General features: G+C 39.0%; 1 protein-coding gene and 1 pseudogene across 4 annotated transcripts in view, besides 1 other annotated feature; both read right to left on the bottom strand.

The window, feature by feature from the left end:
* The window catches only part of NELL1 (neural EGFL like 1), a 906,136-nt gene that overhangs the window by 273,939 nt on the left and 605,292 nt on the right, over positions 1 to 26,905 (bottom strand). The gene's annotated exons all lie outside the window — the stretch shown is intronic.
* Positions 11,680 to 12,179: an enhancer, noted in NCBI's record as "H3K27ac hESC enhancer chr11:21311115-21311614 (GRCh37/hg19 assembly coordinates)". NCBI's record gives its function as "activates a minimal SCP1, AML or CMV promoter by ChIP-STARR-seq in naive H9 embryonic stem cells {active_cell/tissue: H9 hESC(naive)}" and the evidence as "EXISTENCE:reporter gene assay evidence [ECO:0000049][PMID:30033119]".
* On the bottom strand, positions 16,809 to 17,967 carry LOC100631258 (isocitrate dehydrogenase (NAD(+)) 3 non-catalytic subunit gamma pseudogene; annotated as a pseudogene).

The raw sequence follows: 26,905 nt of genomic DNA, 5'->3' as shown, positions 1-26,905 counted from the left end.
AAACTAAAGAGCTTCTGCACAGCAAAAGAAACTACCATCAGAGTGAATGGTTAACCTACAGAATGGGAGAAAATTTTTACAATCTACCCATCTGACAAAGGGATAATATCCAGAAACTACCAAGAACTTAAGCAAATTTACAAGAAAAAATCAAATAACCCCATCAAAAAGTGGGCAAAGGATATGAACAGACACTTCTCAAAAGAAGACATTTGTGCAGCCAAAAGACACATGAAAAAATGCTCATCATCACTGGTCATCAGAGAAATGAAAATGAAAACCACAATGAGATACCATTGCATGCCAGTTAGAATGGCGATCATTAAAAAGTCCTGAAACAATAGGTGCTGGAGAGGATGTGGAGAAATAGGAATGCTTTTACACTGTTGGTGGGACTGTAAACTAGTTCAACCATTGTGGAAGACAGTGTGGCGATTCCTCAAGGATCTAAAACTAGAAATACCATTTGACCCAGCCATCCCATTACTGGGTATATACCCAAAGGATTATAAATCATGCTGCTATAAAGACACATGCACACGTATGTTTATTGTGGCACTATTCACAATAGCAAAGACTTGGAACCAACTCAAATGTCCATCAATGACAGACTGGATTAAGAAAATGTGGCACATATACACCATGGAATAATATGCAGTCATAAAAAAGATGAGTTCATGTTCTTTGTGGGGACGTGGATGAAGCTGGAAACCATCATTCTCAGCAAACTATCGCAAGGACAGAAAACCAAACACTGCATGTTCTCACTCATAGGTGGGAATTGAACAATGAGAACACTTGGACACAGGATGGGGAACATCACACATTGGGGCCTGTTGTGGGGTGGGGAGAGGGATAGCATTAGGAGATATACCTAATGTAAAGACAAGTTAATGGGTACAGCATGCCAACATGGGACATGTATACATATGTAACCAACCTGCACGTTGTGCCCGTGTACCCTAGAGCTTAAAGTATAATAATTAAAAAAAGAAATAATATGGAGTTAATTTGAAAATGTTATTGGTGCGAATCTCATTCAGTAGTCCAACCTGAACTGCATTGTGTCATTATTTCTCACCTTCCCCCAAGCTTCTACCAGACTCACACATGAGAAAAGTGTTAGAAGAAGAGAAAATGGAAAAGCCTCTATTTTGGACTGCTAGAGCCCACTATAGCCTCCTGAGTACCCTCCTCCTAACCTCTACTCTCATTTTCCAATGATGGTCCCTCATCCACACAGCAGCCAAAGTGATCTGTCTAAAGGTATAAACCACTTCTCATCACTCTTCAGCTTATTAAAAAACCCATGTCCTAGCCCAGAAATGTGAATAAACCTAAAGCCCTTTTTCTGGCCTCCAGGTCCTACCTCACTTGTCCCTACCTTCCTTTTTCATTTCATTACCTTCCTCCTTCTCCTCTGTAATATTCTCTCAAGCCAGAAAAGTATTCTTGCTTCTTTAAACATCCTGAGCTCATCCCTGACTCACAGCTTTGCCTTTGCTGTTCCTTCAACATTCACATGTCTCCCTGGCATCATTCAGAGAACACCTCAGATGCTATCTTAGAGAAGTCTTCTCTAAGCAGCTAATGCAGCCCATGCCCTCAGTCCTCTTACCACCAGGGGTTTTCAGTCACAACAGCTGTTTTGTTTTGTTTTGTTTTCCTTTCTTCCTAGCACTTAGAATTTGAAATAATATTCATTATTTGTGTGTTTACGTGATCATTGTCTAATTTCTCTACGAAAGTCACAAGAGGTCGGGGTTTCTGTCCTGTTTATTACTTAAGCTGCTTTGCCTATAGCAGAGGTTCACCAATTATGGCCTGCAGGCTTATTTAGTATGGCATGGGAGCAAATGATGGCTCATATTTTTGTATAGTTGAAAAACAAATTAAAGAAAATATTACATGTTATATAAAAGTATTCAAAATATAAATTACAATGTCCATAAATAAAGTCTTCTTAGAGGACAGCCACTTATTAGTCTACATATTATCTATGGCTCCTATTGCTTTCAGATGTCAAAGTTAAATAGTTGCGATGAAGACCATAAAGTCTACAGTGCCTAAAATGTTTACTATCTGACCCTTTACATATGCACAGATTGCTCACCCTGACCTAAAACAGTGTCTAACTTATTACAGGTGACCAATCTACCAATTTATATGGGTCCAAAAAATAAACACACACACACACACACACACACACACACACACACACACACACACACACACATATAAGACAATAAAATGTTGAAATTTCCCAGGACCCAGACACAGGCAATATCTAATCAGGACTACTTTTTCCCATGAAAAGTCAATTAAGCACAAGTTTCTGGCTGGGTGATTGAAGGTGTTCCAGGTTCTTTACTCTCCTCCAAATGTACTGTGATCCTGGAAGGAGCAGAATGCAATGGAAGGAGCAGAATGCGATGTCTGCATTCTCATCAAGTGATCTAATTGATCCACACACAGAGAAAAGCTAAATGAACAGGACTGAAAATGCTGCAAAAATTAAACACAGATTTCTTAATAAAGCTGAAAATAGCTTAATAAAACTGAAAATAGTCTCCTGGCATCCCAAGGCATGTTTATTTCTGTTTAAATAGATGACTTCCCATAGACTGTTATCAACTCAGTGGGGATCCTGGGAGAGAAGTACTTTCCTCCTCCTGTGAATTTTAAGCTTTTTCCAATGAAATCCAGCCACAGACTGTAAAAAGCATCTGCCAATCTGTATAAAAACTATAACCATGGTCAAGTAATGCTAGTAACTTCAGTTGCCCACTTCTGGAGTGCTCTAGACAAATACAAAATAGCCTCACAGGAGAGAGAAGATGGAGAGCAGATAATCTTTTTTCGGGGGAAAGGTGATTTCTTGGGAAAAGATGAGGAAAGTATCAGGTAGAAGAGTGACAGGGTCATTTTCACTGGAAATGTTGTTGTTGCTGCTGCTGCTGCTGTTTATTTACTTGAACCTGAGGGGCATGCAAATATTTTGACCATTTCCTGATGGCACCGAATGGTCCAGATGGTATACATCCTGCTACTACTGCAGAAAAGTGGTAATGGGAATTACCATAGACCCTGGGCAGAAACTGGCCTATTGGTGGCTTCTCAGAGCTCTTGGCAAGAGTAGATTATGCCACCTGCTCTAGGAAGGCTGACTAAGGAGGGTGATGGATAAGATTTCAGCAGAAACTCCTGCAGGCTCCTTGAAAGAAAGCACATCAATTCTCAGACCTACTACTTCCAGAAAGAGTAAGAGATCAAAACGGTGTCAGAGAGGTGAGCTCACTCTGGAGCTGAGCACCAAAGAAGGGAAGATGAGATCCATTTCACTACTAAGGAGACATCTGAGAAGAGAAGAAATAAATAAGAAGTGAACTGAAAATAACAAATTGATAAAACATGAGCTCAGAGAAACTGACATTGAGATAGAATCATGACAAAGAATAGAAAAGGTTTGCAGAGCTACTGATGGTGCTGGGAACTAGCTTAAGGAAAATAATAAATCCTAATCACAAGAATTAGAACCAACCACAGTGAGATTTTGAATCAGGTTAATTAACCAATGTAAAGAGTATCATTGAAACAAAAACATTTCATAGAAAAATCAGCTGTTCACCTTAAATCTTGAAAATCTTTCCATATAGATTAAAAACATAATCAGGGCAGACTTTTTGGGGTAAAATGAGTTCAACAATAATTATAGGGTACAAAATAAAAAATGATGGAGGAAAAAGTAAAAGGTTTGCATGTCAAGCAATGGGCAGGTGATGGCAGCCCTCTCAGCCCTATTTTGCTCTCCTCTTCTCTCCTCTCTCTTTCTCTTTCTCTACTCCCTCCCTCCTTCTGTCCCTCATCCTAAACTTTGTCAAGGCTCATCTGAGACAGGAGTTACTCTGGAGAGGTTACTATGATTTCCCTTCCCCGCCTCTGTCCTCTCATAGATCCTGCTTATACCTCCATTACAATACTTATTATGCTCCATTATAATTGCCTGATTATTGTTGATTCTCTCAGCCCTGTGGGCTCCTTGAGAGAAAGCACAACAATTTTCAGAGCTGCAGTCTCAGTGCTTGCACAGTTTATGGCTCAAAGCAAGTATTCAATGGAAGACAAAGAACATTGAGAGACAAGTAAAGGAGTCAAAGAATGAATGGATGAGGTTACTGAGTATACACAGATCTTGCTGCTGGTAAAAATAAAACAGATCAAAATAACTTAATTCTATCACAACCTGCACACTGGAAAAGGATGAATCCAGAGGCTTTTCTTACCTTGGAGAAAACAGTTCATTTAATCATGAGGTTTTTCAACATCTTTTTCTGAAGCTTATCATAAAGTGACACTGTACACCTTCAACAGAAATTACATGTTTTATAAATTTAAAATATCAAAACTAGATGAAGTACCATAGGTGTGCTCTAGTACCAGCCTTAAGTAGTTAAACATAACTTCATTTGAAATTCCTTGTCTATGACCATATCACCCTGAATGTAGCCTATCTTGTCTTAAATTCCTTTGCATTTCTTTCCATAATACTATCGATATGTCCAGAAACCCTGGCTTCTTCCTTTGCTATTATAGATTTCTTTGCAATAACTTCAAAATCTCCTTTGATCCCTTTTCCCACAGAATGCTGCAGATAGGAGAAAATGTAAATGCCTACATAGAAATAAATTCCAAATATAATTAAAATAATTATTTTTTTAAATTAATGACAACATCTAAAGAATGAAAAAAAATTCTAGACCAACTTGAATAACTTTAAGGAATATATTAAATAAATATCTGTATAATATTTGATTTATGGGTTCAGTTATTAGGCATAGCTATATTAAGTATATCATTTCATGGACTATATTATATATTAGTATAGAAATATTATCTTTTCTTTACTATAAAAATATTAAATAATTTTATTTAATTTCTTCCCATGAATCTTGACCTAAAGGATTTCCCCAACCCAGAGCCACTTTTCAAGTTCTCTCAGATTTTCCAAATTCATCACCATTCCATCTGTCTAAGTTGTTTGAGATAAAGCACTTTTTGAATCTGTATTTGATGCCTTTTCCAGCAAAGTCACACGAATCCAACTGCATAGTATCAGCGCTTCTTCCTTCCCCATTTGTCTAATAGGTCTGTATTTGTGATCTTTACAATGTAACCAAACACTGAACTGTGTTATTAAGTGTTTTGTATGGTTATCAGTATTTACATTTGTATTTTTTCAAGATTTACTGAAGTATAATTGATAATTTTAAATTCCATATATTTAAAGTATACAACTTGATGATTAGAGATATATATATATACATATAATGCAGAATTGTCATCACAATCAAGCTAATTAAACAATGACATTCAATATTTGCAATTGTGAGACTACGCTCCCAGGAATAATAACTAATTATTTGTTGAGAGGGGGTTTTTTGGTCTTTTTTTAAAATTTATTCTCCAGATAATTTCAATTAAAATCATAAGCTGGCATAGATAATGTCATTTTTTCTCCCCAAAATAGTTTCTTGTGTTCAAAATAACAGAACTGGGATAATACCCGGTATTATGAGAACATTTATAAGGATTTGAATTTAAGGCATTTCCTTTTTATGAGGGATAGAAAGGAAAAAAGTAGTAACCTTGTGTTTAGACATATACAATATTTTCTCTCTCTTTTGTGGCAACATTTATTCATTTACATCTATTGTGTATGCACTAAATTTGGCATTAACTGTAGCAAACCAGATGCTTAAACTGATCAGAGCCCATATGAGAGTCTTCATCAGTAGACTGTTTTTACTCAGGCTGAATTGGTTTTTAAGTATTTGCAAAATTGGTAACAAGACATTCCAATTTTTTAACTGCCTTTGTGAAGTTAAGTCATTTTTTTCCACTTCAAATATGTCTCTTTTCTCTTTTCCTTGCATTTCCTGGAGCAATCACAGTAGCTTCCCATATCAGTGTAAGCAAATTCATTTTGATGTGAAGAACAATTTACCACACTGAGTTCCAATGTTATGCAAGTTGTCAGGGAAACTCCAAGGACCAAGTGCCTCCCTTCAAAAAATGTCTAGCTCCTTAATCAGCTTCCTGCAGAAATTATGCGTATTCCCAACTGAGCCTTTAGTGATGTCACCTTTTCGCAACTGCTGTAATGACCCAGAACTGGCTACATTTCTTACAAATCCTCTTCTTACTTGCAAAATTCTTTGTGTCTACTCCATATCATTATTTTAGCAATTCTTTTGTTTCAATAGCACATCATTCCTGTTTTAAGTGTTCTCTCTTTTTGTCTGTCATTACTCTAAGGAAATAAGTTGACTATTTGATTTACCATTCTTGAAATGTCATCTGTCTTCAATATTTGATGCTTGGTTCTGGTACCAAATGATCTCGTTTGTCTGGATAGTCTTCCTTTTTCGTTCACAAATATCTAGTTAATCCAACATTTTGAGAGATAGCTTTAGTAGTATGGTTATACTCCAGTGCCCTGGGCTGGGTTTTAATCCTGGTTCCCTACTTACTATCTGTAATTGACCTTGAGCAAGTCAGTGAGCTGGTCTGTGCTTCAGGTTCTTTATCAACATAATGGGTGAATGTGAGAATTAAATTTATTAATATTTGTAAACCAATTACAACCATACCTGACATATGGTAAGTATTTTTAAAAGTCAGAAATGGCATTTCCTACAGGTCACATCAGGAGATAGCTGTGGAATAACAGAACGAAAACTTCATCTGAAATCAGAAGATGTGGATTCTCATTCTGTCTCAGCTATGTAGTAGTTGTGAGATTGAGGCAACTGACTTTGCCTTCTTGGGCTTCAGCTTTTGCAAAACTGAGCTTTCTTTACATTTCTTAAATTCTGTGAGTCTATAGTATTTTTTTCAAAAGCAGATATTGATCTGTCGCTGAAACCTAGTCCACTTTCACATAAATGTGTGAAAATTCACAATGTACAAACACTCATGACCATTTAAATCCTTGGGTTTTAGAGCCAAACCCTTTGACTTTTAAAGGTGGCCTCAACTCCTGTTAGTTGTGTGACCTCAGGTAAATTTCTTAACACCTTTGTCCCTCAGTTTTCTCAACCATAAAATCAGGATTACAATAATAATCATCAGATTAGGTCGATACGAAAATAAATAAATACAAATCATGTAGAACAACATATGACATCATAAACTCAATAATGCATAATAACTATAATCACTATTATCTTCAATCCAATTTGCCATGCAATTAATTACCAGATTGCACCAACCATATGTAAGGCACTGTGCTGGGTAATACAAGGTCCAGAATGTTGATTGAATATGTTTCCTACTCTCAAGGTACATATGATTCATTAAGGCTAAACTCAAGTAGATGTCCAATTAATACAAGACAAAATGTGAAATAAAGAAGTTCAAATTTGAGACTAGTTCGACAACTTTTTAAATAGTCCTTGAGATGGTATAAGCACAGAATAAACTAGATGAATGAAGGGAACCAACAAAGGGTACACTATGGGGACAGAAGTGGCAGGTAGTGAAGCTAAAGATGTAGGAGGGAAACAGTCAAGGCTGATAACAGTTGCCTCTGATTAAGCAATGCCCATGTGACTGGCACTGTGTTAACAGTTTTTTGCCATTTTTATATACTTCATTTTATTACTTTTTTAAATTATACTTTAAGTGCTAGGATACATGTGCAGAACATACCAGTTTGTTACATAAGTATACACGTGGAATAGTGGTTTGCTGCACTCATCAACTCATCTACATTAGTTATTTCTCCTATTGCTATCCCTCCCCTAGTCCCCCACTCTCCAAGAAGCTTCAGTGTGTAATGTTGCCCTCCCTGTTTCCATGTGTTTTCATTGTTCAACTTCCAATTATGAGTGAGATCATGTGGTGTTTGGTTTTCTGTTCTTGTGTTAGTTTGCTGAGAATTATGGTTTCCAGCTTTATGCATGTCCTGGCAAAGGACATGAACCCATCTTTTTCATGGCTGCATAGTATTCCATGGTGTGTATGTGCCACATTTTCTTTATCCAGTCTATCACTGATGCACAGTTGGGTTGGCTCCAAGTCTTTGCTATTGTGGACAGTGCTGCAATAAACACACATGTGCATGTGTCTTTATAGTAGAATGACTTACAAACCTTTAAGTATATACCCAGTAATGGCATTGCTGGGTCAAATGGTATTTCTGGTTCTAGATCCTTGAGGAATCACCACACTGTCTTCCACAATGGTTGAACTAGTTTACACTCCCACCAACAGTGTAAAAGCATTCCTATTTCTCCACATCCTCTCCAGCATCTGTTGTCTCCTGACTTTTTAATGATCGTCATTGTAACTGGCATGAGATAGTATCTCACTGTGATCTTGATTTGTATTTCTCTAATGACCAGTGATGATGAGTTTTTTTCATATGTTTGTTAGCTGCATGTCTTCTTTTGAGAAGTGTCTGTTGATATCCTTCACCCACTTTTTGATGGGGTTTTTTGTTGTTTGTTTTTTTTCTTGTAAATTTGTTTAAGTTCCTTGTAGATTCTGGATATTAGCCCTTTGTCAGATGGATAGATTGCAAAAATTTTCTCCCATTCTGTAGGTTGCCTGTTCACTCCGATGATAGTTTCTTATGCTGTGCAGAAGCTCTTCAGTTTATTTAGATCCCATTTGTCTATTTGGGCTTTTGTTGCCATTGTTTTTGGTGTTTGAGTCATGAAGACTTTGCCCATGCCTATGTCCTGAATGGTATTGCCTAGGTTTTCTTCTAGGGTTTTTATGGTTTTAGGTCTTATATTTAAGCCTTTAATCCATCTTAATTTTTGTATAAGGTGTAAGGAAGGGGTCCAGTTTCAGTTTTCTGCATATGGCTAGCCAGTTTTCCCAATAGCATTTATTAAATAGGGAATCCTTTCCCCATGGCTTATGTCAGGTTTGTCAAAAATCAGATGGTTGTAGATGTGTAGCATTATGAGCATTTCTGAGGCCTCTGTTCTGTTCCATTGGTCTATATATCTGTTTTGGTATCAGTACCATGATGTTTTGGTTACTGTAGGCTTGCAGTATAGTTTGAAGTCAGGTACCATGATGCCTCCAGCTTTGTTCTTTTTGCTTAGGATTGTCTTGTCTATGCAGGCTCCTTTTTGGTTCCATATAAAATTTAAATTTGTTTTTTTCTAACTCTGTGAAGAAAGTCAATGGTAGCTTTATGGGGAGAGCATTGAATCTATAAATTACTTTAGGCAGTATGGCCATTTTCACGATACTGATTCTTCCTATCCATGAGCATGGAATGTTTTTGCATTTGTTTGTGTCCTCTCTTATTTCTTTGAGCAGTAGTTTGTAGTTCTCCTGGAAGAGGTCCTTCACATCCCTCATAAGTTGTATTCCTAGGTATTTTATTCTCTTGGTAGCAATTGTGAATAGGAGTTGACTCATGATTTTGCACTGTTTGTCTATTACTGGTGTATAGTAATGCTTGTGATTTTTGCACATTGATTTTCTATCCTGAGACTTTGCTGAAGCTGATTATCAGGTAGGTTAAGGAGATTTTGGGCTGACAGGATAGGGTGTTCTAAATATACAATCATGTCATCTGCAAACAGAGACAATTTGACTTCCTCTCTTTCTATTTGAATACACTTTATTTCTTTCTCTTGCCTCATTGCCCTGGCCAGAACTTCCAATACTGTGTTGAATAGGAATGTTGAGAGAGGGCATCCTTGTCCTGTGTGGTTTTCAAAGGGAATGCTTCCGGCTTTTACCCATTCGGTATGATATTGGCTGTGGGTTTGTCATAAATAGCTCTTATTATTTTGAGACACGTTCCATCAATACCTAGTTTATTGAGAGTTTTTAGCATGAAGGGGTGTTGAGTTTTGTCAAAGGCCTTTTCTGCATCTATTGAGATAATCATGTGGTTTTTATCATCAGTTCTGTTTATCTGATGGGTTACGTTTTTTGATTTGTGTATGTTGAACCAGGCTTGCATCCCAGGGATGAAGCTGACTTGATCTTGGTGGATAAACTTTTTGATGTGCTGCTGGATTTGGTTTGCCAGTATTTTACTGAGGATTTCTGCACTGATGTTCATCAGGGAATACTGGCATGAAATATTCTTTTTTTGTTGTTGTATCTCTGCCAGGTTTTGGTATCAGGATGATGCTGGCCCCATAAAATGAGTTAGGGAGGAGTTCCTATTTTTCTATTGTTTGGAAAAGTTTCAGAAGGAATGGTACTAACTCCTCTTTGTCCCTATGGTAGAACTGGGCTGTGAATCTATCTAGTCTTGGGCTTTTTCTGGCTGGTAGTCTATTAATTATCATCTCAATTTCAGAACTTATTATTGATCTATTCTGCTTTCTTCCATGGGCATTTAGTGCTATAAATTTCCCTCTAAACACTGCTTTAGCTGTGTCCCAGAGATTCTGGTACGTTGTGTCTTTGCTCTCATTGGTTTCAAAAAACTTGTTTCTGCCTTAATTTCATTATATCGTTAATAATGATATCCTGTCTTCCACTTGATCAATTCGGCTATTGATACTTGTGTGTGCTTCACAAAGTTCTCCTGCTATGTTCTTCAGCTCCATCAGGTCATTTATGTTCTTCTCTGAACTGGTTATTCTGGTTAGCAATTCCTCTAGCCATTTTTCAATGTTCTTAGCTTCCTTGCTTTGGGTTAGAACATGCTCCTTTAGCTCAGAGAGTTTGCTGTTACCCACCTTCTGAAGAATACTTCTGTCAATTCATGAAACTCATTCTCTGTCCAGTTTCGTTCCCTTACTGGAGAGGAGCTGTGATGCTTTGGGGGAGAAGAGGCATTCTTGTTTTTGGAATTTTCAGCCTTTTTGCACTGGTTTTTCCTCATCTTCATGGATTTATCTACCTTTGGTTTTTTATGTTGGTGATCTTCGGATGGGGTTTCTGTGTGGATGTCCTTTTTGTTGATGTTGATGCTATTCCTTTCTGTTAGTTTTCCTTGTAACAGTCAGGCCCCTCTGCAGCAGGTCTGCTGGAGTTTGCTGAAGGTCCACTCCAGACCCTGTTTCCCTGGGTATCACCAGCAGAGGCTGCAGAACAGCAAAGACTGTTGCCTGTTCCTTCCTCTGGAAGCTTTGCCCCAGAGGGGCACCTGCCATATGCCAGCCAGAGCTTTCCTGTATGAGGTGTCTCTCAACCCCTCCTGGGATGTGTCTCCCAGTCTGGAGGCACAGGGGTCAGGGACCCACTTGAGGAGGCAGTCTGTCCCTTAGCAGAGGTTGAGAACTGTGCTGGGAGAACCACTGCTCTCTTCAGAGCCAGCAGGAAGGAATATTTATTTATTTATTTATTTATTTATTTATTTATCTATTTATTTTATTTATTTATTTATTTTTTGAGATGGCGTCTTGCTCTGTCACCCAGGCTGGAGTGCGGTGGCGCAATCTTGGCTCACTGCAAGCTCCACCTCCCGGGTTCACGCCATTCTCCTGCCTCAGCCTCCCAAGTAGCTGGGACTACAGGCACCCACCACCACGCCCAGCTAATTTTTTGTATTTTTAGTAGAGACGGGGTTTCACCGTGTTAGACAGGATGGTCTCGATCTCCTGACCTCGTGATCCGCCCACCTCGGCCTCCCAAAGTGCTGGGATTACAGGCGTGAGCCACCGCGTCCAGCCCGGAATATTTAAATCTGCTTAAGCTGCACCCACAGATGCCCCTTCCCCCAGGTGCTATGTCCGAGGGAGATGGGAATTTTATCTATAAACCCCTGACTGGGGCTGCTTCCTTTCTTTTAGAGATGCTACTCCCAGAGAGGAGGAATCTAGAGAGGCAGTCTGGCTAAGTGGCTTTTCGGAGCTGTGGTAGGCTCCACCCAGTTTGAACTTCCTGGCAGCTTTGTTTACACTGTGAGGGGAAAATTGCCTACTCAAGCCTCAGTAATGGCGGATGCCCCTCCCTCCACCAAGCTCAAGCATTCCAGGTTGACTTCAGACTGCTGTGCTGGCAGTGGATCTTAGCTTCTTGGGCTCCGTAGGGGTGGAATCCAATGAGCTAGACCACCTGGCTCCCTGGCTTCAGCCTTTTCCAGGAGAGTGAATGGTTCTGTCTTGCTGGCATTCCAGGTGCCACTGGAGTATGAAAAAAAACTCCTTCAGTTAGCTCCCTGTCTGCCCAAACTGCCACCCAGTTTTGTGCTTGAAACCCAGGGCCTGGTGATACAGGCACCCAAGGGAATCTCCTGGTCTGCAAGTTGCGAAGACCATGGGAAAAGCATAGTATCTGGGTCAGAATGCACTGTTCCTCACGGCACAGTCCCTCATGGCTTCCCTTGGCTAGGGGAGGGAGTTCCCTGACCCCTTGCACTTCCCAGGTGAGGAACCGCCCCACCCTGCTTTGGCTCACCCTCCGTGGGCTGCACCCACTGTCTAATCAGTCCCAATGAGATGAGCCAGGTATTTTAGTTGGAAATGCAGAAATCACCCGCCTTCTGCATTGATCTTGCTGGGAGCCACACACTGGAGCTGTTTTTATTGGGCCATCTTGCCCAAGAGTTTTAAATACATTTTCATGGTGGTAGAGCATGTTTCCAAAAATGGTCACATCAATAGTGCTCCTCACCTATGTGCCCCTTTGTAATGTGACCCTGTCATTCTCTCATCAAGAGTCAGAATTTGTTCCCCCATTCTTATATCTGGTCTACCCTATTATTGCCTAATTTGATCAACAGAATATAGTAGAAAGGGCATTAAGCAACTTTCATGTCTGAGCCTTAAGAGGTCTACAGCCTTGGTCTTCACTTCTTAGAACACTCCTTCTTAGAACCCAGGTGCCATTGCTGTGAGGAGATCAAAATACCACATACCACATACGACAACCAGGTGGAGAAAAATGGAGGCCCCCTGACTGACAATCATTAGTAGCAACTGCCAGCCATGTGAATGAGGTGATTCTGGAGCTCTTAGCCATCCTACTGCTGATAAGAAGAACCCCCCGACTAATCTACATAATCATGACAAATAATTGCTGGTCATTCGAACTCACTAATGTTTGGATAGTTTGTTTTACAGCAATAGACAACCAAAACAATCTTACTTAATTTTGACAACAATCCCATGAAGGTACACATTTACCTTTATTGCACAGATAAGCAACTAGAAATCAGAGAGGTTAAGCAACTTATCCAATGTCACACTGCTCCTGTGTGGCAGAGTTGGGATGAATGTCAGTCAGCTATTAAATCTGAATGACTGAGTAATTTGTAAGACCAGTAACCAAAACAAATCTGTAAAGAGAAGGAGTAATTTAGAGAAAAATCAGACAACTTGTTGATGCCATTTTTTATAACACCAGAATTGTAAACAAAGCACAGTAAACTGATAAAGGCTAAGATGAAATTATCCAACAAATGCAGTACAGACATTTTCTCAGGAAACAGAGGCAGCCTGCCAACCAACTGTTTTACTGACTTGAGGGCTTTAGTCTTCTTTAGAGAGGAGTAATTTTGTAAGATAGTTTCATAGACTGAAGTCAGACAAGAGCATTTTGCAATAGATTAGCTCTTCCAGTTCCCTACTCCTAAGCCATTAGGAGTAAGCCCTTCCTTCCTTTCTTTCCTTCCCTTCCTTCCTTCCTTTCATTCCTTCCCTTCCTTCCTTCCTCTTTCCTTCCCTCTTTTTTCCTTCTCCCTTCCTTATTTCCTTCTTTCCTTCCTTCCCTTATTTTTTCTTTCTTTCCTTCCTTCTTTCCTTCCCTTATTTCTTTTCTTCCTTCCTTCTATTCTCTTCTTTTCTTTAGAGTGAGTATGAACTAAGAGCCTGTCCCTATCCTAGGTTCTGATGCTATAGTGATGAATGACTTCACTCCTATTGCCAAGGGATGCATTGTACAGTAAAGTTAACGAGGGATGGTGGGGATAAAACATGTAATCACAATCAGAGAAATAAATACTAGATAGTGTATATAGAGAGCTGTGGCAGGGGACACTGAGAGTTACCCCCTCAATCTCAGCAAAAAATGGGAAGAGGGGTAAAAAGATAAGACTCCCCAAAAAAGGTGATGATTAAGTTGAGTCCTGAAGCATGAGGAGAAATTCATCTAATGAAGAAGAAAGGAACCAAGACTGTATACAAAGGCCTGATCTAGAGAGAATAGATGGTCCTTTAACAATAAATTCTGTTATAGTCTTGTTGGAATGCCACATTGCATTGATATTGGAATGAGGGTGGGGGGACAGACATGGTGAACCTGAGGAAGGGAAAATGAGGCCAGAACATTAGATGGTTTTCATGCTATGCTCCACTGCCTTTCTTTTACAGAAAAAATGAAGCCTTTGAATAAAGGTTTTAAGTAAGAAAGGGACATGATCTCTTTGCCTGTCAGAAAGATCATGCTGGATGCATTGTGAAAATAGATTGAACAGGGCTAAACTACAGGCAAGACATCAGTTAGGAAGCTATACTTGCAGTAAGAGAAATTAGGAAGTTACCAATGATAAGAAAAGCTAATGAGGAAGAAGGTGTTGGTGAAAAAAAAGAGGGGTTGCCAGATTCAAGAAATAAAAAGGAGCTAGAATAAGGAGACTTGATGAATCAGCAGATATGATTTGCTTTTCTATTTAAAAGTTGGCCGCAAACCAAAAATCTATAATGAATTAATAAAATTCACTCAGTTCTATTCAGAATTATCTTTTAGAATGGTATATTCTGTGTAATAAGGAATATAATAATTTCTAAAATACACTAAGCACTTATAGGCACAACAACACAGGTTTTACGTGAATTTTCTCCGTCTTTCCAACAACCCTATAAGGCAGGTACAGTTATCACACTTTACAGATAAAAAAGTGTAGCGGTATCAACCATAACACTCATATTTTGGTTGATTCAACAAACATGTATTCCATGCATTATGTACCAGCCATTATGTTACAGACTACAAAGGACAAGGAAAGAAAACACGTGGAGCTTACCCTAGAGATGTTCATATCTAAGTGAGAGCATCTAACAGTGGAAATGAAAAATTTTACTATGGTGTACTAGGTGTCACTGCAGCAGTCTGGTCCAAGAATTGCAATGGGATTCTGAAAATGACCATCTTTAACAGATAGAGAAATTTTAACTGAAGTGTATCATAAACCCCCATTGCTAAATAGAAGCCAACAACTGGGCCACTGTCTTTTGTTAAGCTGATTGTGCCATAAATAAATCCTTGTCATCATAAAAAAGAGTGGTACGAGTGGATAGTATGGGTTAAAGTAAGATCAGTTAGCGTGGCATTGGAGGTGCAGGGGGCCATCTGGCTAAAATCCGCCCCTTGCTCCACTTGAAAAGAACATGCCTTTGGTGCACGTCTAGATCAGCCCAGAGGTGGGCACCATTTGGGCTAGTGGCAGCCCTGGACAGTGACATGTCTAATGGCCAGTAAAGTGACTATCAGGGTCATTTTATACATAGACTCTTTCCTGTTTGCCTTATTCTTCAAGAAAGACTTCTAGATAGGGTTTCAGGTAGTCACTTTCTTTTCAGACTAAATCCTCTCAAACTAGCTTTCAGTTGTCCAAATCCTGGCCCTGACTTTATGCCCAATTAGGAAAGGTTAGACCAAGGTAATATGATTAAGGCAGAGCCTGGTGGAAACTGTAAGAAACTTTCTATGGTCTAAGTGTCTTTAACTTGTGACCTATTAACCAGGCAGAGATCCAAAGGTAATAGGCGAGACACACATTTCCACAATGTAGAATTCATTATTTTTCTCTGTCTCATTTCTATCTACAGGCCTTTCCTACTGATAAAACTACTGTAAGTTTTTACAGTCATTGTGTTTTTAATTTCCTAATTAAGTAACAATTTCCAAGCACCAATAAAGTTATTTTAGTTTGTCTCCCAACTATAACTTTAAAAAATACTACAAATAAAATAGGATAAAGTGACAGTAAACATTTAGCTCAGTGCTTTTTGTTTTCTTTTGTTTTGTTTTATACACACATTCTTTCTTTGAAAGATTGAAAGTAAACCGTAAAAGACTGTGAAACACTGACCAAAGAGTTTACAATCGATAGTTCTCTGTTTCGCAAAATGTTGTGGGTCTAGTGCCTGTTAACTGGGGTTTTGACCTCTACACTCTTGAGTCCAGCTGGAAGAATTCAAGAATCCCCTTTCCAGAAGAGCTGCAGTGCCTAAAAATGTTCATGTGTGAAACAGAACACTGGAGAAAATTCCTAACGTAAAGGTCATAAATAAGACCATAGGAAAGATGGGCTATCTAGGAAGGAGTGGAAGCATTCTATGTCAGCTCTGCTGTATGTTGTCCTATTTATTAGAAAAGTTACAATGTATATTTTTTAGGCAAAGTTTATTGCACTAATTAACTCATTAACGACCTCTAGAGAGAAGCCAGGCTTCTCTGCAGGCTGGTTTGCTGAATGTTAATGACCAAGATAAAGAGAAAATCAGTGTGCCAAGCTCTGGGAAAGCCCCAGGACTCCACAAACAGCTCTGATTTATTCAGTATATAATATCGTAGAGAAGGGAGAATTGTGGACTAAAATAGATAAGAATGTCCTCAATTCATTTAGATAAAATTGTCCTCAATTTAAACAAAAAATTTTTATGGCATTTCAATTTAATGGGAAAAAAATCAGTTTTGGTTCACACAGGCCCCCACCCTGCCCTGCTTGTGAATTAAAGGATAAGCTGGTTTCTTGTGGAGTCTGCAGTAGCTAAGCTGGCTAGGGTTTTTAAAGCAGAAAGAGTGGAGGTAACAAGTAGGACAGGACAGACTTTGAGGGATAGCTTAGCCTCCAAGGCACAGAACAATTAATTGACATTTCAAATGTGGTCTATGATGTTTTGAATGATGTCCAATGTGGTACCCTGGCCTCCAAGGTCTGCAGTGTGGACACTTTTGTTGTCCAAGGATGCCAAGACTGCAGTATTAATGTGGGTGGCATAGGAGTGGAGTTTGAGGTAATCCAGCATGATACAAATTGCCAGCAGCATGGCGGTAGGGTTTGCCAGATTTGTATTGACTAAATTGTCACATTGCCTTGAAGCTGTCTCAAACACTGCATACATATAGACATAGTTGGCTCCAGGCACAAGGCCTGCCCCACCAATCAAACCTGTGCAGACACTGTTGATAACATTGCCATAAAGACTGAGCATTACCATGACATCAAACTGTTGGGGCTGGGATACTCACTGCATTGTGGCATTCTCCACAATCATGTCTTCTAAGGTGAGCTGAGGATAGCGGGATGCCACCTCCCCCACAGCACTGGAGGAAGAGACCATCTCCCAGTTTCGTGATGTTGACCTTGTGCACAGCCATCACTTTTTTGCATCCCATCTTCTGGGCCAGCTGGAAGGCATATTCAGCAATGCACAAAGACTTGGCCTTAGTCATGATCTTTAGGCTCTCTGTCACTCCTTTCACACTCTCATGCTCCAGATTGCTATACTCACCCTCTGTGTTTTCCCAAACAACTAGGATGTCTACATCTTTGTGCCAGGTCTCCACGTTTGGCAAATTTTTTAAATGAATGACACTGGCATAGAGATCTAGGGTGGTATGCAACATGTTGTTGAAGGATTTGTATGATGGTGGCAGGGTGTCGTCAGTTTTAACGCTACTCTTCAAAGCCACACGGTTTCAATGAACTGCCATGATGGCATTATGAATTTCCTCTTCATGTGAGGCAGAGGTGGAGGTCACTGACATTCCCTCAAAGTCCACAGGCACACACACATGTCTGAACATAATCTTGACAGGCAGCATAAGTTCAGTCCCAGTGCCATCTCCAGGAATCATAGTCACTGTGTGCTGCCCACCACACTTCGCTGATGGAGGAATTGTGTGAGAAAAAGAGAAGCTTCTCAGGGGGATCTCACAGCCAAGTAAAATATCCCAGGAGTAGCCAAGAATGGTAGGTTGGAAAATTGCCTTCACAGAGCCACTGGCTACTGTCAGCATCTTCAATACCAAAATCATGAAGTTGAGATCTATTCAATTGTGTGAAAAGCTGTGCTCTTTCTCTGGCTTTGAACTAGCTTCCTTGGGTGGAATTCTGGACCCATGATTCTTGCTTGGGTCATAATTCTCTCTCCTTCCTTGTGTTCTATTTCACAGACATTCTACTTTGTGAGAGAGATAGCTAGACAGATGATGTAATGTGTTATATAGTAGAAAATACAACTATTTTGGATCTAGATAATAATTCACTAGACAAATTCAGTGTGTGAAACTCTGTATCACATGCTTTTAAAAACACAGACTTTATTTTTAGAGCAGTGTTAGGGTCACAGCGAAATTGAGTGGAGGGTACAAACATGTCCTGTTTTCTCTTGGTCCAAAATAAGCACAACCTCTTCCACTACCAAAATCCCACACGAGAGTGCTCAATTTGTTCTATCTTATTTTTTAATTTTTTAAAAAATATTTATTTTTAATTTTTGTGGGTACAATAGTGTGTGTATGTATTTATAGATTGCTATGAGACATTTCGATACAGGCATGCAATGCATAATAATCACATGAGGGTAAATGGGATATCCATCACCTCAAACATTTATCTTTTATATATAATCCAACTACACTCATTTAGTTATTTAAAAATGTACACAAATTATTATTGACTACAGTCACTCTGTTGTGCTAGTGAATACTAGGTCTTATTCATTCTTTCTAGTTTTTGTACCCATTAACCATCCCCACCTCCCCCACACTCCCCCACTATCCTTCCCAGCTTCTTTCACTATCCTTTACTTTCTATCTCCATGAGTCCAATTATTTGAATTTTTAGCTCCCACAAATAAGTAAGAACATACACAATTTGTCATTCTGTGCCTGGCTTATTTCACTTAACATAATGACCTCCAGTTCTATTCATGTTGTTGCAAATGATAGGATCTCATTCTTTTTTATGGCTGAATAGTACTCCATTGTGTATAAGTACCTCATTTTCTTTGTCTATTCATTTCTTTATGGACACTTACATTGCTTCAATATCTTGGCTATTGTGACTAGTGCTGAGACAAACATGAGAGTACACATATATTTTCTATGCACTGATTTCCTTTCTTTCAGGTATATACCTAGCAGTGGGATTGCTAGATGCTATGGTGGCTCTATTTTCAGTTTTCTGAGGAACTTCCAAACTGTTCTCCATAGTGGTCAGATTAATTTACATTCCCACCAACAGTGTTGGGTGTTCCCTTTTCTCTACACCCTTGCCGGCATCTTATTGCTGATCTTTTGCATATAAGCCTTTTTTTTTTTTTTTTTTTTGAGACAGAGTCTCACTGTGTTGCCCCTGCTGGAGTGCATGGTATGATGTCAGCTCACTACAACCTCCACCTCTCAAGCTCAAGCGATTCCCGTGCCTCAGCCTAAACGCTGTTTCTATTAAAACCACAAAAATTAGCCAGGTGTGGTGGTATATAAGTCATTTTAACTGGCCTGAGATTATATCTTATTGTAGTTTTGATTTGCATTTCTCTGATGATCAGTGATGAACACCTTTTCATATGCTTGTTTGCCATTTGTATGTCTTCTTTTGAGAAACGTCTATTCAGATCTTTTGCTCATTTTTAATTAGATTGTTAGATTTTTTTTTCCTATAGAGTTGTTTGAGATCCTTATATATTCTGGTTATTAATCTCTTGTCAGATAGATAGTTGGCAAAATATTTTCTCCCATCTGTAGGTTGTCTTTCACTTTGTGGACTATTTCCTTTGCTGTGAAGAAGCTTTTTAACTTAATGTGATCCCATTTGCCCACTTTTGCTTTTGTTGTCTATGCGTGTAAATTATTACACAAGAAGAATTTTTGCCCAGGCAAATATCCAGGAGACTTCCTCTGATGTTTTTGTGTAGTAGTTTCATAGTTTGAGGTCTTAGATTTAAGTCTAATCCATTTTTATTTATTTTTGTATATGACGAGAGATAGGCATCTCCTAGATGTAGCACCTTAATGGTCTTAGATGAGATCCGGAAGAATTATCTGGATTACCATGCAGAGACTCTTCTTCTCTTTCCTTACTTTCTCCCAAACAAATGGAGTCTCTCTCTCTCTCTGGATCTGGGGGTGGAGTGACACAAGTACCCCTGTGGCTACCACCACTGGAACTATGCTGGGTCAGTCCTTAAGCCATCAAAGCACTGGGCCTTGTCCAAGGTCTGCTGTAACCACTAACTGGCTACCCCCTAAGTTCACTCAAGGCCCTGGGTCTACAATCTGTGGATAGTGAAGCCAGCCAGGCTTGCATCCTTCTCTTCAGGGAAGCAAGTTCCTCCAGGCCCTGGTTGGGTACAGAGGTGCCATCCAGGAGCCAGGGACTGGAGTCAGAAACCTTAGAAGTCTACCTGGTATTCTATTGTATTGCAATTGAACTGGCACTCAAATCATAAGACACAGTCCCTCCAACCCTTCCCTCCCGTTTCCACAGGCAGAGGAGCCTCACCTCACAGCCACTATTACCATAAGCCTCTTTAGTCAGCAGGTGAAGGGTCTTTCTAAGACTGGGTCCTTACCTTCATGGCAGCAGGTTCCCTTCTGGCTCGGGGGGTGTCCAGAAATGATGTTCAGGAGCTGGGGCATGGCAAGGGGGCCTTATGACTCTGACTGTGACTGGTGCCTATCCTACTGTGACTGAGCTGGTATCCAAGATGGAAGACAAAGTCCTCCCCACTCTTCCCTCTCCTCAAGCAGAAGAAAGGGGTCTCCTTGGGAACTGTAAGCTGTGCAGCCTGGGGTTGGAGGAGGGACGGTGCAAGCACTCCCTTAGCTGGCCTGGCTGGTGTCTCAATAGGTTGCCTGTTCTCCAGGTCCACTGGCTCTGAGTCCAGTTCAGGACTAGGACATGCCTAGGAGTTGTAATCCCTGTGGCCTAGACTGTTTAGAGCCTAGGCTTTGGAACCTTAAATAATGTTTATTATTAACTTAAATTGTTATTTATTAAACTTAAAATTGTTACTTAATTGGAACTTAAATTGTTATTTAAGTTTATTAAACTTAAATAAACATTATTTAACGCCCCATAGCATTTTAGCCCGCTTTGCTGAGGCTTGCAGTAACTCAAGTTCTGACTGTTGGGATGGTGATTCTCCTCTGGCTAGGGCTGGTTTAAATACTCCCTCCGTGGGCTGGTGTTACTAAAGTTCAGCCCAGTTTTGTCTTCTGCTGTGACAAGGCAGAATTGAGTTCAATGCAATATCTCAGAATCACTATGCTCTCCCCCTCCCACAAATGCACAGATTCTCTCTTCATGTCACATGGCTCCTGCTGAGTGATGGGGAAAAGGTGGCATCAGTGATTCAACACTGTCTTTCCTACCCTCTTCAATACCTCTTTCAGTGGTATGAAGTTAAAATCAGGTACTGTGAATGCTCACCTGATTTTTGGTTCTTATGAAAGTGTGTTTTTGCACAGATAATTGTTAAATTGTTGACCATGTAGGTGGAACGATTGGTACAGCCTTCTATTTGGCCGTCTTGCTCTGCCATTCTCCATTTTTTATAACCAATGAACCAACACTGATGCATCAGTATCAACCAAAGTCCATAGTTTACATTAGGTTTCACTCTTGGTATTTTACATTGTACAGGTTTGGACCAATGTATAATGATAGGTATCCACCATTGTAGTATCATTACAGAGTAGTTTCACTGCCTTAAAAATCCTCTATTTGAGCACCTTTTATCTCTCCCTTCCCCCAACCTCTGGAATCCCCTGAAGATTTTACTGTCTTCATAGTTTTGCCTTTTTCATCATGTCATATAAGTGAAATCACATGTGACATTTGCAGATCGGCTTCTGTCACCTAGTATTGTGCATTTACGTTTCCTCCGTTTCTTTTCATGGCTTGATAGTTCATTTCTTTTTGGCATAGAACAATATTCCATTGTCTAGATGTAACAAAGTTTATCCTTTCAACTCCTGGAAGACATTTTTATTGCTTCCAAGTTTGGGTGGTTATGAATAAAGCTGCTCTAAACAATCTGTTTGCAGGTTTTGGTGAGGACAGAGTTTACAACTCATTTGGAAAAATACCAAGAAGCACAATTGCTGTATCGCATGGTAAGAACATGCTTAGCTTTGTGAGAAACTGCTTTTTTCCAAAGTGATGGTAGAGTTCCTGGTGCTTCATAACCTTTTGAGGATTTGGTGCTGTTAGTGTGTCAGATTTTGGCCATTCCAATAGGTGTGTAGTGTATGTCACTGTTGTTTTAGTTTGTAGTTCCTTAATAACATAAAATGTTGAGCATCTTCTCATATGTTTATTAGCTACCTAGTGAGGTGTCTGTTAGGTCTTTGCCCATTTTTTAATCAGGTTGTTCATTTGCTTTTTGTCAGTTTAAAGAGTTCTTTGTATATTTCGGACAACAGTCCTTTATCAGATGTGTCTTTTGCAACTATTTTCTCCCACTCAATGACTTGCCTTCTCACTTTCTTGACAGTGTCTTTTCTAGAACAAACGTTACAAATTTAATGAATTTCATATTATTATTCTTTCATGAACTGTTCCCTTGACTGTATCTAAAAAATAATTGCCATACTATAGGTCACCTAGAATTTCTCCTGTTATCTTCTAGGAGTTCGAGTTTTTCATTTTCATTACCATTTATGATCCATTTTGATTTATTTTTACTAGAGTTTTAAGATCTGTGTCTACATTTATCAATTTATTTTGGCATGTGGATGTAGTTTTTCTAGCACCATTTGCTGAGATGACAATTTTCCTTCATGATATTGTGTTTGCTCCTTTGTCTAAGATCAGTTGACTATATTACTATAGATCTATTTCTGGCTCTCTAGTCTCTTGCATTGACTTGTTTGTCTATTCTTCATCAGTACTACACTGTTTTGATTACTGTAGCTTCATAGTAAGTCTTCACATCTGGTAGTGTCAATTCTTCACCTTTGTTCTCCTTTAGTACTCTGTTGGTTATTCTGAGTCTTTGTCTGTCCATATAAACTTTGGAATCAGTTTATCAATATCCACAAAGTAACTCCCTACGATTTTTATTGGGATTGCATAAAATCTTGAATCAAATTTGGTAGAACTGACATCCTAACAATATTGAGTCTTCCTATCCATAAACATGGATTATCTCTCTATTTAGTTCTTTGATTTTTTTTAAACTGAGTTTTATAGTTTTCCTCTTATAGATCTCGTCCATGTTTTGTTAGATTTAAATCTAAGTATATCATTTTGGGGTTGCTAATATAACCGGCATTGTTTTTAATTTTAAATTTCACTTGTTCATTGCCAGTATACAGAAAAAACTATCGACTTTTGTACATTAACCTTATATTCTGCCACTATGCTATAGTCACTTACTAGTTTCAGAAGGGATTTTTTAATTGATTTTTTAAAAAATTTCTACTTAGATAATCATGGTATGTAAAAGCAAATGCAGTTTTATTTCTTTCTTTCCAGTAACTACACCTTTTATTTTATTTTCTTAATACATTAGCTATGATTTAGAATACTATGCTAAGAAAAAAACAGTGGTAAGAGGGGATATACTTGCCTTCTTCCTAATTTGGCAGCAAATCTTGTAGTTTCTCATTATTGTGTGACATTGCTGTAGGGTTTTTGTATATGTTCTTTATCAAGTTGAGGAAGTTCGCTTCTATTATTCCTTGTTTACTGAGGGTTTTTATCAATGATAGGTGTTGGATTTTGTCAAATGCTTTTTCTTTCTTTTTTTTTTATTATACTTCAAGTTTTAGGGTACATGTGCACAACGTGCAGGTTAGTTACATATGCATACATGTGCCATGTTGGTGTGCTGCACCCAGCAACTCGTCATTTAACATTAGGTATATCTCCTAATGCTATCCCTCCCCCTTCCCTCACCCCACAACAGGCCCCGGTGTGTGATGTTCCTATTCCTGTGTCCGTGTGTTCTCATTGTTCAATTCCCACCTATGACTGAGAACACGCAGTGTTTGGTTTTTTGTCCTTGCAACAGTTTGCTGAGGATGATGGTTTCCAGCTTCATCCACGTCCCTAAAAAGGACAAGAACTCATCCTTTTTTATGGATGCATAGTATTCCATGGTATATACGTGCCACATTTTCTTAATCCAGTCTATCACTGATGGGTATTTGGCTTGGTTCCAAGTTTTTGCTATTATGAATAGTGCCGCAATAAACATACATGTGCATGTGTCTTTATAGCAGCAAGATTTATAATCCTTTGGGTATATACCCAGTAATGGGATGGCTGGGTCAAATGGTATTTCTAGTTCTAGATCCCTGAGGAATCGCCACACTGACTTCCACAATGGTTGAACTAGTTTACAGTCCCACCAACAGGGTAAAAGTGTTCCTATTTCTCCACATCCTCTCCAGCACCTGTTGTTTCCTGACTTTTTAATGATTGCCATTCTAGCTGGTGTGAGATGGTATCTCATTGTAGTTTTGATTTGCATTTCTCTGATGGCCAGTGATGATGAGCATTTTTTCATGTGTCTTTTGGCTGCATAAATGTCTTCTTTTGAGAAGTGTCTGTTCATATCCTTCACCCACTTTTTGATGGGGCTGTTTGTTTTTTTCTTGTAGATTTGTTTGAGTTCATTGTAGATTCTGGATATTAGCCCTTTGTCAGATGAGTAGATTGCAAAAATTTTCTCCCATTCTGTAGGTTGCCTGTTCACTCTGATGGTAGTTTCTTTTGCTGTGCAGAAGCTCTTTAGTTTAATTAGATCCCATTTGTCAATTTTGGCTTTTGTTGCCATTGCTTTTGGTGTTTTAGACATGAAGTCCTTGCCCATGCCTATGTCCTGAATGGTATTGCCTAGGTTTTCTTCTAGGGTTTTTATGGTTTTAGGTCTAACATTTAAGTCTTTAATCCATCTTGAATTAATTTTTGTATAAGATGTAAGGAAGGGATCCAGTTTCAGCTTTCTACGTATGGCTAGCCAGTTTCCCCAGCGCCATTGATTAAACAGGGAATCCTTTCCCCATTGCTTGTTTTTGTCAGGTTTGTCAAAGATCAGATGGTTGTAGATATGTGGCATTATTTCTGAGGGCTCCGTTCTGTTCCATTGGTCTATATCTCTGTTTTGGCACCAGTACCATGCTGTTTTGGTTACTGTAGCCTTGTAGTATAGTTTGAAGTCAGGTAGTGTGATGCCTCCAGCTTTGTTCTTTTGGCTTAGGATTGACTTGGCAATGCAGGCTCTTTTTTGGTTCCATATGAACTTTAAAGTAGTTTTTTCCAATTCTGTGAAGAAAGTCATTGGTAGCTTGATGGTGATGGCACTGAATCTATAAATTACCTTGGGCAGTATGGCCATTTTCACGATATTGATTCTTCCTACCAATGAGCATGGAATGTTCTTCCATTTCTCTGTATCCTCTTTTATTTCATTGAGCAGTGGTTTGTAGTTCTCCTGGAAAAGGTCCTTCACGTCCCTTGCAAGTTGGATTCCTAGGTATTTTATTCTCTTTGAAGCAATTGTGAATGGGAGTTCACTCATGATTTGGCTCTCTGTCTGTTATTGGTGTATAAGAATGCTTGTGATTTTTGCACATTGATTTTGTATCCTGAGACTTTGCTGAAGTTGCCTATCAGCTTAAGGAGATTTTGGGTTGAGACGATGGGGTTTTCTAAATATACAATCATGTCATCTGCAAACAGGGACAATTTGACTTCCTCTTTTCCTAATTGAATACCCTTTATTTCCTTCTCCTGCCTGATTGCCCTGGCCAGAACTTCCAATACTATGTTGAATAGGAGTGGTGAGAGACGGCATCCCTGTCTTGTGCCAGTTTTCAAAGGGAATGCTTCCAGTTTTTGCCTATTCAGTATGATATTGGCTGTGGATTTGTCATAGATAGCTCTTATTATTTTGAGATATGTCCAATCAATACATAATTTATTGAGAGTTTCTAGGATGAAGCGTTGTTGAATTTTGTCAAAGGCCTTTTCTGCATCTACTGAGATAATCATATGGTTTTTGTCATTGGTTCTGTTTATATGCTGGATTACATTTATTGATTTGCGTATGTTGAACCAGCCTTGCATCCCAGAGATGAAGCCCACTTGATCATATTGAATAAGCTTCTTGATGTGCTGCTGGATTTGGTTTGCCAGTATTTTATTGAGGATTTTTGCATTGATGTTCATCAGGCATATTGGTCTAAAATTCTCTTTTTTTGTTGTGTCTCTGCCAGGCTTTGGTATCAGGATGATGCTGGCCTCATAAAATGAGCTAGGGAGGATTCCCTCTTTTTCTATTGATTGGAACAGTTTCAGAAGGAATGGTACCAGCTCCTCCTTGTACCTCTGGTAGAATTCGGCTGTGAATCCATCTGGTCCTGGACTTTTTTTGGTTGGTAAGCTATTAATTATTGCCTCAATTTCAGAGCCTGTTATTGGTCTATTCAGAGATTCAACTTCTTCCTGGTTTAGTCTCAGGAGGGTGTATGTGTCTAGGAATTTATCCATTTCTTCTAGATTTTCTAGTTTATTTGCGTAGAGGTGTTTATAGCATTCTCTGATGGTAGTTTGTATTTCTGTGGGTTCGGTGGTGATATCCCCTTTATCATTTTTTATTGCGTCTATTTGATTCTTCTCTCCTTTCTTCTTTATTAGTCTGCTAGCAGTCTATGAATTTTGTTGATCTTTTCAAAAAACCAGCTCCTGGATTCATTGATTTTTTGAAGGGTTTTTTTGTGTGTCCATCTCCTTCAGTTCTGCTCTGATCTTAGTTATTTCTTGCCTTCTGCTAGCTTTTGAATGTGTTCGCTCTTGCTTCCCTAGTTCTTTTAATTGTGATGTTAGGGTATCAATTTTAGATCTTTCTTGCTTTCTCTTGTGGGCATTTAGTGCTATAAATTTCCCTCTCCAAACTGCTTTGAATGTGTCCCAGAGATTCTGGTATGTTGTGTCTTTGTTCTCACTGGTTTC

Source organism: Homo sapiens, chromosome 11, assembly GCF_000001405.40.
Source record: "Homo sapiens chromosome 11, GRCh38.p14 Primary Assembly".
In the NCBI taxonomy this organism is placed as follows: Eukaryota; Metazoa; Chordata; class Mammalia; order Primates; family Hominidae; genus Homo; species Homo sapiens.
Note: the sequence above shows the minus strand (reverse complement) of the source record. Positions and strands in the feature narration are given on the sequence as shown.